General features: G+C 42.3%; 1 protein-coding gene across 2 annotated transcripts, besides 2 other annotated features; it reads left to right on the top strand.

The window, feature by feature from the left end:
* CTLA4 (cytotoxic T-lymphocyte associated protein 4) lies at positions 3,037 to 9,231 on the top strand. Of its 2 annotated transcripts, NM_005214.5 has the most exons (4): positions 3,037 to 3,317; positions 5,852 to 6,199; positions 6,644 to 6,753; positions 7,974 to 9,231. In NM_005214.5, exons 1-4 carry the CDS (start codon positions 3,209 to 3,211, stop codon positions 8,076 to 8,078), a joined length of 672 nt encoding a protein of 223 aa, NP_005205.2. In that variant the 5' UTR covers positions 3,037 to 3,208; the 3' UTR covers positions 8,079 to 9,231. The 2 variants fall into 2 exon arrangements, with proteins under 2 accessions (NP_005205.2, NP_001032720.1); NM_001037631.3 differs by lacking the exon at positions 6,644 to 6,753.
* Positions 6,720 to 6,829: an enhancer, noted in NCBI's record as "active region_17016". NCBI's record gives its function as "activates an Ori minimal core promoter by ATAC-STARR-seq in GM12878 lymphoblastoid cells {active_cell/tissue: GM12878}" and the evidence as "EXISTENCE:reporter gene assay evidence [ECO:0000049][PMID:35858748]".
* Positions 7,050 to 7,139: a silencer, noted in NCBI's record as "silent region_12259". NCBI's record gives its function as "represses an Ori minimal core promoter by ATAC-STARR-seq in GM12878 lymphoblastoid cells {active_cell/tissue: GM12878}" and the evidence as "EXISTENCE:reporter gene assay evidence [ECO:0000049][PMID:35858748]".

A 13,309-nucleotide genomic window follows, 5' to 3' on the forward strand; every position in this document is an offset into this window, starting at 1 on the left:
CCTATAATAAGAAAGGCCTATTTATTGAGTGGCTATCTGTTACAATAGGCCTTTTATACATGTTACATGCATTATCTCATTTAATCTTTTCAATAATCTTGAGAATTAGATGCCATTATCTGGAGGACATTGGGCTTTGAGCCCCAGGTCAACAGTAAGCAAGTCCCCATGCTAGGATACAAATCCAGTTATCTTGGGCTTCAAAATCTTTGCTTTAGCATAGTGATAAAGGTATCACTGGCTTCAAATCCTGGCTCTGCCACTTCCTACGGGTGATTGGGTAAGTCACCTTAACTTTCAATGCCTTGATTTCCTTCTTTATAAAATGGGAAAAATGGTAACTCTTGTCTTGTAGGGTTGTTATGGACTTGAAAGAAACAAAACTTGCTGGGCGCGGTGGCTCACGCCTGTAATCCCAGCGCTTTGGGAGGCCGAGGCGGGTAGATCACCTGAGGTCAGGAATTTGAGACTAGCCTGGTCAACATGGCGAAACCCCATCTCTACTAAAATAATACAAAAAATTAGCTGGGCGTGGTGGTGGGTGCCTGCAATCCCAGCTACTTGGGAGGCTGAGGCAGGAGAATCACTTGAACCCAGGAGGCAGAGGTTGCAGTGAGCCGAGATCGCGCCACTGCACTCCAACCTGGGAAACAAGAGTGAAACTCTGTCTCAAAAAAATAAAAAAGAAAAGAAAGAAAACTTGACATTTGAATAATTTCTGCAGCACCACAGTACTTCTCAAACCATAATTCTGGTGTCATTCATTCTAAACTTCTCCTTCCACTCACTGATTGTGGACTAGTCCCATAGGGACCTCGTCTTCACAGCTGTCATTACCTTAGTTTAGACCAGGGGTTGGCAAACCATGGCCCACAGGCCAAATCCAGACTTCACCTATTTTCGTAAATGAAGTTTTATTGGAATGCACACACACCCATTTGTTTACATATAATATATGGCTTCTTTCATTCTAAAATGACAGAGTTGAGTAGTGGCAACAGAGACCCCACCGTTTGCAAATCATAACATATTTACTATTTTGCCCCCTTCAGAAAGCTTTCCAAATCCTGGTGCCTGGCGTATTCCAATAGTCTTCTTCCCAGTCTTCCTGGTTACATTTCTCCCTGAACCCATCCTCCCCATCCCTAAAATTTCCCCCAAATGTGAACTCAGTCATACCAGTTTGCTCCTTATGTTTCATTGGCCCTTGCTGCTAAGAGCATCCGCTTGCACCTTCTGCTCATCCCCAGACAAGCTTTGTCCTGTGACCATAATGAACTCTTCATGCCGTTTCCAACTTTAGCCCATGTTATTCTTCTTGTCTGAATATCCACCCTTTTCTCTGTTCTCAATAATAAGTTCAGGCTTTTCGTCTTCTGAGAAGCCCTTTCTGACTTCCACAGGCTGAACCACTGGCTTCTGCTCCTCTACATAATACTTCAATTCCAGCATTGATCTCACTCTATCATGATCATGGGTTTAGCTGTCTGTCCCTGCCACTGCTGTGTGTTCCTCTTGAGGGCAGGAACATTTGTTTTTCACTTTTTAAAAAACCTCTGTTGCCCAGTCTGGCATTAGGAAGTGCCCATTAGGTTGTTATTGCTTGTTGGCGCTTGAGCTGGGGCTTGAAGGTTTCTATAATGTGTAGCAGTGTATAGAAAACAGGCAGGTCAGAAAAGGCTTCTGTGCATCACACCAACATGGCACATGTATACATATGTAACAAATCTGCATGTTGTGCACATGTACCCTAAAACTTAAAGTATAATAATAATAAAATTTTAAAAAAAAAAAGAAGAGGCTTCCTGGAGGAGATGACAGCTGAGCTAAGTCCTGGAGGATGAGAAGGAGTATAAAATAAGATAATAGGAGAAAAAAGGCAGTAGGAACAGCATGGGTAAAGGTGATGAGGCCTGAAAGAGGCACGTGGAAGGAAAGACAAATGCAGGAAGGGGGAATGGGAGGGAATGCTGGGGTACAGGCCAAAGAGGGAGGCATTTGGTGAGTATTCTGCAGAGTCTCCTCTGCTGTGCTGAGGTGTGGACAATGGGAAACCATGGACGGACTGGAGTAGGCAAATGTCATATTCCCTGTTACAACTGTCTGTTTGCATGTCAGCCTTCTAGAAGCCCCTTAAGGTATCAACTATGTTTTTGTTTTGTCATCATTCAATCCTAAGTGCACAGAATTCCGGGCATATTACAGGTTCCCCATGAATGTTTCTTTCTTTATTAAAATGTATGAAAACTCTCCAGATTTAAGGAAGGTCCTCAATGTTTCAAATTCTTTTTGTTAGATCATTGGTCCTGTCTACAGCTGTCACAAATTTAAGGACTCTGGTTATATTTAATCTTCACTTTTGAATTTTCTGCTTGAAAAATTTGTATTAGAAAAAAAAGTCTATCCTTTTATGGACGGCTCTAATCTCTTGAATCATTTGGGTTGGCTTTTCTTTGGACCTTCTTCAACTCTGTTTTGTCTCTGTTGAGTTAAGGCTTTTAAGAACACCTGAATTCTTTCCTTCTGCAAAACCAGAGGCAGCTTCTTTTCCGCCTATTTTCAGTTTATTTCTTGTGATTTTAGTTTTTTTCTCTTAACCAAATGCTAAATGGATTTAGGAGAAATAAACTTATTTGTAAAGCTGTCAAGGGACCATTAGAAGGATGGTGCTTCACAGATAGAATACAGTTTTTATTAATGATGCCTAGACAAATCCTGCCATTAGCCCAAGGGCTCAGAAAGTTAGCAGCCTAGTAGTTTTGGAGTTGTCAATGAAATGAATTGGACTGGATGGTTAAGGATGCCCAGAAGATTGAATAAAATTGGGATTTAGGAGGACCCTTGTACTCCAGGAAATTCTCCAAGTCTCCACTTAGTTATCCAGATCCTCAAAGTGAACATGAAGCTTCAGTTTCAAATTGAATACATTTTCCATCCATGGATTGGCTTGTTTTGTTCAGTTGAGTGCTTGAGGTTGTCTTTTCGACGTAACAGCTAAACCCACGGCTTCCTTTCTCGTAAAACCAAAACAAAAAGGCTTTCTATTCAAGTGCCTTCTGTGTGTGCACATGTGTAATACATATCTGGGATCAAAGCTATCTATATAAAGTCCTTGATTCTGTGTGGGTTCAAACACATTTCAAAGCTTCAGGATCCTGAAAGGTTTTGCTCTACTTCCTGAAGACCTGAACACCGCTCCCATAAAGCCATGGCTTGCCTTGGATTTCAGCGGCACAAGGCTCAGCTGAACCTGGCTACCAGGACCTGGCCCTGCACTCTCCTGTTTTTTCTTCTCTTCATCCCTGTCTTCTGCAAAGGTGAGTGAGACTTTTGGAGCATGAAGATGGAGGAGGTGTTTCTCCTACCTGGGTTTCATTTGTTTCAGCAGTCAAAGGCAGTGATTTATAGCAAAGCCAGAAGTTAAAGGTAAAACTCCAATCTGGCTTGGCTGGCTCTGTATTCCAGGGCCAGCAGGGAGCAGTTGGGCGGCAGCAAATAAGGCAAAGAGATAGCTCAGAACAGAGCGCCAGGTATTTAGTAGGGGCTTCATGAATGCATGTGAGTTGGTTTAGTAGAGAGACACAGGCAATTTCAGACCCTTCTATGAGACTGGAAGTGATTTAAGAGGGAAAGGATAGCCATAGTCCTGAATACATTTGAGCTGGGTTTCAGGATGAGCTCACAAGTTCCTTTAAAAAAAATTGACTTAAGCAAATCCTGGGAAGAGTTTTTTTGCTATACAATTCAAGGTTTTAAGGTCCTCGGATTCATATACTTTATAAATGAATTAGCCAGCTTGTTTAAAATGTAGGGAAATTGTGGGAAGAATGCCTTCTTTACTTAATTCAAGGTTTTAAGGTTCTCTTAATCAATTCTACTAGCTAATTAGCCAATTATTTAAAAATAAAAGTTTGAAATTGCCAAAAAAAAAAGACAAGGAAAAGGAAAGAAAGAAAGCCACCAGTCTGTTTGGCATACAATACTTAATTGTTGCCTGACCTACGTGTGGGTTTCAGATGCAGATCCTCAGTTTTCAGCTCTTCAGAGACTGACACCAGGTTTGTTACACGGCTTAAAATGATGAGTATATCCATTGAATCTCAACCTTATCTCTCTCTAGACCTTCTTGGTTAAGAAACCATGTAGTTTGTATGAAGTAGGTACTCAAAAGATATTTGATGATTTAATTTTTACTGGAGAAGAAATATTCATATATGTTTTCTTATTTTTACATGTTTTAAATATGTAAAGATTAAATAAACACTCTTAGAAGTATTTAAATTTCCTAAAGTAAATTTATCTCAACCAGTAACAGGACCCTCCCAATACTGGAAAGTTGAGTGTGACCGCATTTAGTGGTGATGAGTGTGAGCTTGCTTGGGGAGAGGGCAGGACATTTAGGATTTCTTAAGCTTAGAGTCAATACAATAAAGATTATTGAGTGCTCACTTGGGTGGGCTATAATCACTGCTCACAGGAGTTCATGAACCACAAGTAAAAGAGTGAGGAGATATGATTAGCTCACAAATAACTTTAATACAGAGCAGAAAGTAATGAACTACTGCAATGGAGTTATCACAGTGCTAAGGATGCTCAGAGGGCATCTCTGATAGGCAGAGGTGAGGGTTAGGGAAGGAAGCTGTAGTCTAGCTAGCTAGAGCTGCTGGAATAGACATGACAATGGCTGCTGCCAAACTGTTTTCTCTTCTGAGGACAGATGTCCCGTGCAAGTGGCTTGGTGGAAGGGACTAGTGTCTCTAATATAGGGTGATTTATAAGCAGGAAAGTGTGTCCTAGAAATTCAGACCAGAGTGATAGATTGGAATTGGATCATGGGGGACTCATTGAATGTTATTTATTGTATTTGTTTTTGCGATCAGTGTTAGTAAAGTGTCAAAGGGATTGAGCAGATGAGTGACATCATGCAACACAAGTTTTGAGTTTCACTTGTCAGACTGACTGGAGAGGGGCCTGGTTAGTTACAGGAAGGTAATTTGGCATGCAGCCACTATTTTTGAGTTGATGCAAGCCTCTCTGTATGGAGAGCTGGTCTCCTTTATCCTGTGGGAAAAGAGAACAAAGGAGCATGGGAGTGTTCAAGGGAAGGAGAAATAAAGGGCAGAGAGGCAGCGGTGGTGTCAGGGGAAGCCCACAGGAGTTAACAGCAGGGTTGCCTCAACCTAGAGAGGAAGCGACCTGGTGCCCTCGGCTCTGTGGCTTCCTTCATCTAACAACATCTTCCACTCTACAACAATGCCAGGGAAGGCGGAGGCTGGTACAGTGCATCAAGACACAGCTACTCCTGGGTGACAGAGGTTCAGGGCCAGCTCACTAAGTAGGCAGAAGTTTTTGACATATACTTTGAGAGATAAAGCAAGATTCTGTACCTCAACCTTCAGAATTTCCCCTACCACTCATTATAGTTCCGGAGCTATATAGCTCCTATCATTCTATCATAACCTTAGAATACCAGAGAACATATCATCTCATCTAATTATCTCTTACTATATGTGAAAAAAATGAAGGACATGGGGGAAGTGTGACTTGCCCCAAATCACATATTTCATGGTAGAGCCAGGTCTTCTGTTTGTCATATCAGTGTTCTTCCTGCCACAACCATCTTGAAGAATCTATTTCTCAGTAAGAAAATATCTTTATGGAGAGTAGCTGGAAAACAGTTGAGAGATGGAGGGGAGGCTGGGGGTGTGGAGAGGGGAAGGGGTAAGTGATAGATTCGTTGAAGGGGGGAGAAAAGGCCGTGGGGATGAAGCTAGAAGGCAGAAGGGCTTGCCTGGGCTTGGCCATGAAGGAGCATGAGTTCACTGAGTTCCCTTTGGCTTTTCCATGCTAGCAATGCACGTGGCCCAGCCTGCTGTGGTACTGGCCAGCAGCCGAGGCATCGCCAGCTTTGTGTGTGAGTATGCATCTCCAGGCAAAGCCACTGAGGTCCGGGTGACAGTGCTTCGGCAGGCTGACAGCCAGGTGACTGAAGTCTGTGCGGCAACCTACATGATGGGGAATGAGTTGACCTTCCTAGATGATTCCATCTGCACGGGCACCTCCAGTGGAAATCAAGTGAACCTCACTATCCAAGGACTGAGGGCCATGGACACGGGACTCTACATCTGCAAGGTGGAGCTCATGTACCCACCGCCATACTACCTGGGCATAGGCAACGGAACCCAGATTTATGTAATTGGTGAGCAAAGCCATTTCACTGAGTTGACACCTGTTGCATTGCAGTCTTCTATGCACAAAAACAGTTTTGTTCCTTAATTTCAGGAGGTTTACTTTTAGGACTGTGGACATTCTCTTTAAGAGTTCTGTACCACATGGTAGCCTTGCTTATTGTGGGTGGCAACCTTAATAGCATTCTGACTGTAAAATAAAATGATTTGGGGAAGTTGGGGCTCTCGCTCTGGAGTGCTAACCATCATGACGTTTGATCTGTACTTTTGATATGATATGATGCTCCTGGGGAAGTAGTCCCAAATAGCCAAACCTATTGGTGGGCTACCCATGCAATTTAGGGGTGGACCTCAAGGCCTGGAAGCTCTAATGTCCTTTTTTCACCAATGTTGGGGAGTAGAGCCCTAGAGTTTAAAACTGTCTCAGGGAGGCTCTGCTTTGTTTTCTGTTGCAGATCCAGAACCGTGCCCAGATTCTGACTTCCTCCTCTGGATCCTTGCAGCAGTTAGTTCGGGGTTGTTTTTTTATAGCTTTCTCCTCACAGCTGTTTCTTTGAGCAAAATGGTGAGTGTGGTGCTGATGGTGCACCATGTCTGATGGGGATACCTTTAGTGGTATCAACTGGCCAAAAGATGATGTTGAGTTTAGTGTTCTTGAGATGAGATGAGGCAATAAATGAAGAGGAAGGACAGTGGTAAAGAACGCACTAGAACCGTAGGCATTGGCATTTGAGGTTTCAGAATGACTAATATTTTAGATGAATTTGTTTGACATTGAATGTTCATGTGCTTCTGAGCAGGGTTTCAATTTGAGTAACCGTTGCAATAACATGGGGCAGCTGTTTTGCTCTTTGTCTTCATGACAACTGTACTTAAGCTAACAGCCCTGAAACATGAGATTAGGCTGGGCAGAATGCTGCTAGAGAGGACCACTTGGATGGTCTTTATTCTCCTTCTCCATGTCCCTCTCCATCACCTGGAAGTCACCTCTGGGTGCCACTCTGGTGCCTTCCTTGTCGAAGCTGTAGCTGCTCACATGACACCTATCCCTGTTATCCAGTTTGCTTGACTGGGACGTTTTGCCTTCCCCTTCAGCCAGGAAGTGAAAGTCCCAGTTTTTATTTATCACAGGTGTTGGTATTGGTGGTAGAAGAGGTAGAATTATGGAATCAGGCCTCCTGTCAGGATTTCTTTTTGACAGTCCCTCTCAGACACCTCTGCCTAAGGCCAGCTTTGCCATTACAAACTCTCCCTTCTCCCTCTCTCCCTTCTTCTCTTCCTCTTCCTTCTTCTCGCTCTTTCTCTCTCTCTCTTTCTCCCTCTCTGTCTCTTATACACATACACAAAGATATACTCTATTCCAACATCCTCTACCCAACCTGACAGAGATGTCCTTTGCTGTAGGTTCAGCAGTGGGGATGAGAAATACAGCTCTCAAACAGGATAACTAAAGCTTATTATCTTATCAAGCTTGTTCCCTTGCAGACAAGATTGATCAATTATCATAGGCTTTCTGGGTGTTCTTTCTGAAGCTTTCTCAAAGTCTCTTTCTCCTATCTTCCATTCAAGGCAAATGATTGCCATTTAACATCAAAATCACAGTTATTTATCTAAAATAAATTTTAATAGCTGAATCAAGAAAATCTCCTGAGGTTTATAATTCTGTATGCTGTGAACATTCATTTTTAACCAGCTAGGGACCCAATATGTGTTGAGTTCTATTATGGTTAGAAGTGGCTTCCGTATTCCTCAGTAGTAATTACTGTTTCTTTTTGTGTTTGACAGCTAAAGAAAAGAAGCCCTCTTACAACAGGGGTCTATGTGAAAATGCCCCCAACAGAGCCAGAATGTGAAAAGCAATTTCAGCCTTATTTTATTCCCATCAATTGAGAAACCATTATGAAGAAGAGAGTCCATATTTCAATTTCCAAGAGCTGAGGCAATTCTAACTTTTTTGCTATCCAGCTATTTTTATTTGTTTGTGCATTTGGGGGGAATTCATCTCTCTTTAATATAAAGTTGGATGCGGAACCCAAATTACGTGTACTACAATTTAAAGCAAAGGAGTAGAAAGACAGAGCTGGGATGTTTCTGTCACATCAGCTCCACTTTCAGTGAAAGCATCACTTGGGATTAATATGGGGATGCAGCATTATGATGTGGGTCAAGGAATTAAGTTAGGGAATGGCACAGCCCAAAGAAGGAAAAGGCAGGGAGCGAGGGAGAAGACTATATTGTACACACCTTATATTTACGTATGAGACGTTTATAGCCGAAATGATCTTTTCAAGTTAAATTTTATGCCTTTTATTTCTTAAACAAATGTATGATTACATCAAGGCTTCAAAAATACTCACATGGCTATGTTTTAGCCAGTGATGCTAAAGGTTGTATTGCATATATACATATATATATATATATATATATATATATATATATATATATATATATATATATATATTTTAATTTGATAGTATTGTGCATAGAGCCACGTATGTTTTTGTGTATTTGTTAATGGTTTGAATATAAACACTATATGGCAGTGTCTTTCCACCTTGGGTCCCAGGGAAGTTTTGTGGAGGAGCTCAGGACACTAATACACCAGGTAGAACACAAGGTCATTTGCTAACTAGCTTGGAAACTGGATGAGGTCATAGCAGTGCTTGATTGCGTGGAATTGTGCTGAGTTGGTGTTGACATGTGCTTTGGGGCTTTTACACCAGTTCCTTTCAATGGTTTGCAAGGAAGCCACAGCTGGTGGTATCTGAGTTGACTTGACAGAACACTGTCTTGAAGACAATGGCTTACTCCAGGAGACCCACAGGTATGACCTTCTAGGAAGCTCCAGTTCGATGGGCCCAATTCTTACAAACATGTGGTTAATGCCATGGACAGAAGAAGGCAGCAGGTGGCAGAATGGGGTGCATGAAGGTTTCTGAAAATTAACACTGCTTGTGTTTTTAACTCAATATTTTCCATGAAAATGCAACAACATGTATAATATTTTTAATTAAATAAAAATCTGTGGTGGTCGTTTTCCGGAGTTGTCTTTATCATCCTTGCATTTGAATATTGTGTTCAAATTTTTGATTGATTCATTCAGTATCTGGTGGAGTCTCCAATATTAGAAATACTGGAAACAAACTGAAAAACCACAAAAGGACAAATAATGCTTCATGAGTCAGCTTTGCACCAGCCATTACCTGCAAGTCATTCTTGGAAGGTATCCATCCTCTTTCCTTTTGATTTCTTCACCACTATTTGGGATATAACGTGGGTTAACACAGACATAGCAGTCCTTTATAAATCAATTGGCATGCTGTTTAACACAGGTTCTTCACCTCCCCTTTCTTACCGCCTGCTTTCTCAGCTCAACTATCACAGGCATTACAGTTGTCATGGCAACCCCAATGTTGGCAACCACGTCCCTTGCAGCCATTTTGATCTGCCTTCCTGAAATATAGAGCTTTTCCCTGTGGCTTCCAAATGAACTATTTTGCAAATGTGGGGAAAACACACACCTGTGGTCCTATGTTGCTATCAGCTGGCACACCTAGGCCTGGCACACTAAGCCCTCTGTGATTCTTGCTTAACCAATGTATAGTCTCAGCACATTTGGTTTCCACTTAAGGTTTCCTATTTTTGACCTCCACATCCTGTTATTGTCTTTTGCAGTGATTCTCAGTGTGGTCAGGGACCACCTGTAACTGAATCCACTGGGTCACTTACTAAAAACACCAATTCACACTTATTCCCAGATGCGTTGAATCAGAATCTTTGAGTGGTGGGGCCAGGAGTTTGTATTTCCAAAAATCTTCCCAGTGCTTCTTATACCCATCAAGTTTTGAGAATCACTGCTTAGGCAACTCTGTCTGTGTCTCTTCCTCTGTCTCTCCCCCTTGCTCATTCTCTTGCTTGCTCTTGCTCTCTTTCTCTCTTTCTTGCCCCAGCAAGTGCTAACAAACACACAAGACAGCACATAGTAAGCATTTCAAAAGGGGTTGTTAAAAAAAAACGAATAGGTCTTTCAAAGTAAGGTAATGATTATTACCTAGAATGAGCTCCTTTTCTGTGGAAGACTGTGCTTCTTGCTCTCTAGGCCTTTGGATGGTAGCCATGAAGAAAAACACCAATCAGGAGCCTCAGTGGATAGTATATCATTTCCACTCCTCTAAACATCTTTAGAGAGATTACTCTTTTTCATAGTTGATGGGCAGATCTGAGTGACAGAGAGTGCCTTACACAAGTGATGCCCTCCAGGTACCTTTCAGACACCCTTAGATAATGGACTACTTTATATAAGCTTAATATTTCCTCTGCTATTGCCTAAAATTCTACCATTTGTTGTTCACTGAGATAAGACTTGCCCTCTTCATTCAGTCTCAATCTTATAAAAATAAAATACCCTTTAGCTCAAAAAAGCTTCCCCTATGGCAGAAGAATTGTACAAGAAAGACTATGACCCGGGGTTCCGCTGAAAGGGGAGAAAGCAAATATGAGGGTAAGGGAGTGCATCTGGGCACCAAATGAAAGCCTCTTCTAATTCCCATGTCATTTATGAGAGAAGATTCTATGTCTGTAGTACTCAGAGAGGTGAACTGCCCCCAAATCAGAGGACCAACTGTCACATGGGATTCCAACCTTCATCATCATCTCCATTTCTGGGATCAGGGTCCTGGGGCAGCTCCAAGCCCAAATAATCCATGAACCCAAAAGGGGCTTGGCCTACCATGCAGGGGGAGCCTGGGCGTTGCAACCCTCCTCCTTGGAACCACTTGTCACAGGCAAGACTGTGGATGACAAGGGAGCCGGATAGAGTGGCCAGGGGCTCCAGAGTCAGTTCCTCCTCCAACATGGCTCCTAGCACACGCCTCTGCTCATGTCTCTTCTTCAGCATGGTACTCGCATTCCTGCTACTTCCCATTTCTTCATTTCTCACCTCCAAATATTATAATCCTTCATTGTCACACCCATCAAGACTAATCCCAAATTTTGCCTCCACCGTCAGATTTGCTGACACTTTAAGCTCGTGGATTTCTCCTCTTTTGTTTCATAGCTATACTTGGTTTCACCTCTAATAATTTCAAGCATGCATGTCTTTTCTACCTAGTTAGATCAGGAACTTCTCCAAGACAGGGATAATCACAACTTTAGGCACACAGTAGATGCTCCAATAAATGAATTGAGGAGTTGGGGAACTAGGACATCCAGGACCGTTTTCCATACAGAACCCATCTGTGTTTTCTTAGGCAGTCCCAGCTTAATCTCTTTCCCATTTGATCATCAGAACTTTGTGCAGGTCTACTCATCTTTTGGCTTAAACCTTAAAGACTCTGGACTGTGAGTTCCAGCTGCCTACTCTGTCCCACTCATTCTACTTTGATCTTAATCCAGTCTTACTTCCAATCTTTTTCTTTCTTTGTTGAATTCTTATTTTTATTCTTTTTCTCTTTTGAATTGTTGGTTGTTGCTAAAATTGACTATATTTTTATACCCAGTCTGAGCCTTCTTCCGTATCCACAGTTAATAGTTCATTCAACTTAGTTGGGACTGAGCTCGTGAAACATTGATGTCACTGTGTTGTTAACTGGAGCAAAGCCAGTTGAGAAGTTCAAGACTTTATAAATTTAGTTATTCTTTTGGGAGTTCTCAAAGCAAAGGAGAACATGGCTTTCTCCGGAAAGTTATTCCCATTGCCTTACTTGTTGTTTGCACCTGGTTAGAGCCATGACTCAGGCTCCTTAGAAACCTTGTTTTATTTCATATATATATATTTTTTCTCATCTCAGGTCAATTTTTTCTGTTCAGTCCAGAAACATGACACACCCTATTGGTAAAAAGGGAGGAAAATTTATTCTTTCCTCTTTTATGTTTCCTTGGCTACATGCTGGGATAGGGGCTCATGGTAAGTTTGCCAGATTCAACCAAAAAACGCCACAAAAACAAGAAAACAGGATGCCCTGTATTTTATCTGACAACGCTATCAGCAGGAAAGCTTATGCTTCTAATGCAGTGTGAATAAAAAGTGTACTAGAGGCTGGGTGCAGTGGCTCACACCTGTAATCCCAGCACTTTAAGAGCTGAGGTGGACAAATCACTTGAGGTCAGGAGTTTGAGACCAGCCTGGCCAACATGGTGAAACCCTGTGTCTACTAAAAATATGAAAATTAGCCGGGTATGGTGGCAGGTGCCTGTAGTCCCAGCTATTCGGGAGGCTGAGGCAGGAGAATCGCTTGAACCGGGAGGCAGAGGTTGCAGTGAGCAAGATCACGCCACTGTACTCCAGCCTGGGTGACAGGGCAAGGCTCCATCTCAGAAAAAAAAAAAAGAAAAAGAAAAAGAAAAGAAAAGTGTACTAGAGACCCCTCTTCAGAAGTTTCTGAGCAAGAACAACTTGAGACTGTGACCACTGTTCCAACTGTAACACAATCTCCTGTTCTCACTTCCAGGCACATGTGGGATTGATGCTATGTCACTGGAAGCTAATGAGACCTGCAGAAGAGGTAGCTATTTCTCTTCTAAGCAATTTTCTTAGAGGAAGTTAACCCATCCTGCTGCATATTGCAAGGAACTTGACATTCAGACCCTTCTTGGAAATCTGCTTTCATGGGCACACTCTATGTTCTTGCATTTATTTCGTACAATAATCATCTGAAGCATTTGGAAAAAGTGCAGATTGAAGTTCCTCTGAACCAGAACTTCTCACTTATAAGGTCTGAGGCAGGGCCTGGGGATTTTAATTCTTCAGAGAGCCTTTAGGCCATAGTTCATAAGCTCTGATCTAACTCAGGATTCTACCATCATAGATGATTAGCAAAGGATATTGGAAATGATCCTCAGATTTTAGAAGAACATAAGGCTCGGAGACTTTAGGGACCTTGTCCAAGGTCCTATGGCGAGGCAGGACTTGAACTAGGCTAAGAAGTCAGATCTCCAGGTTTTCACATCAGGGCTCTGCAGAGGGTGGCACTGTGCACCTTTCTGACCAGGGGCTGTCCTTTCCAGGCTGCTTCTAGGACGTCCCTGCTACCACTCCAGGCCACCCACAGAAAACCCACTTTTCCATCCATCTCCATCCCAAGTACTCCTGTTACATCTCGGTGTGATTATCACCACTGTTG

This window comes from Homo sapiens, chromosome 2 (assembly GCF_000001405.40).
Source record: "Homo sapiens chromosome 2, GRCh38.p14 Primary Assembly".
NCBI classification, from domain to species: Eukaryota; Metazoa; Chordata; class Mammalia; order Primates; family Hominidae; genus Homo; species Homo sapiens.

Coding starts and splice junctions, on each gene's coding strand:
- CTLA4 (NM_005214.5), top strand. CDS start 3,209: ATGGCTTGCCTTGGATTTCAGCGGCACAAGGCTCAGCTGAACCTGGCT. Junction 6,200..6,643: donor AACCCAGATTTATGTAATTG/GTGAGCAAAGCC, acceptor TTTCTGTTGCAG/ATCCAGAACCGTGCCCAGAT. Junction 6,754..7,973: donor CTGTTTCTTTGAGCAAAATG/GTGAGTGTGGTG, acceptor TGTGTTTGACAG/CTAAAGAAAAGAAGCCCTCT.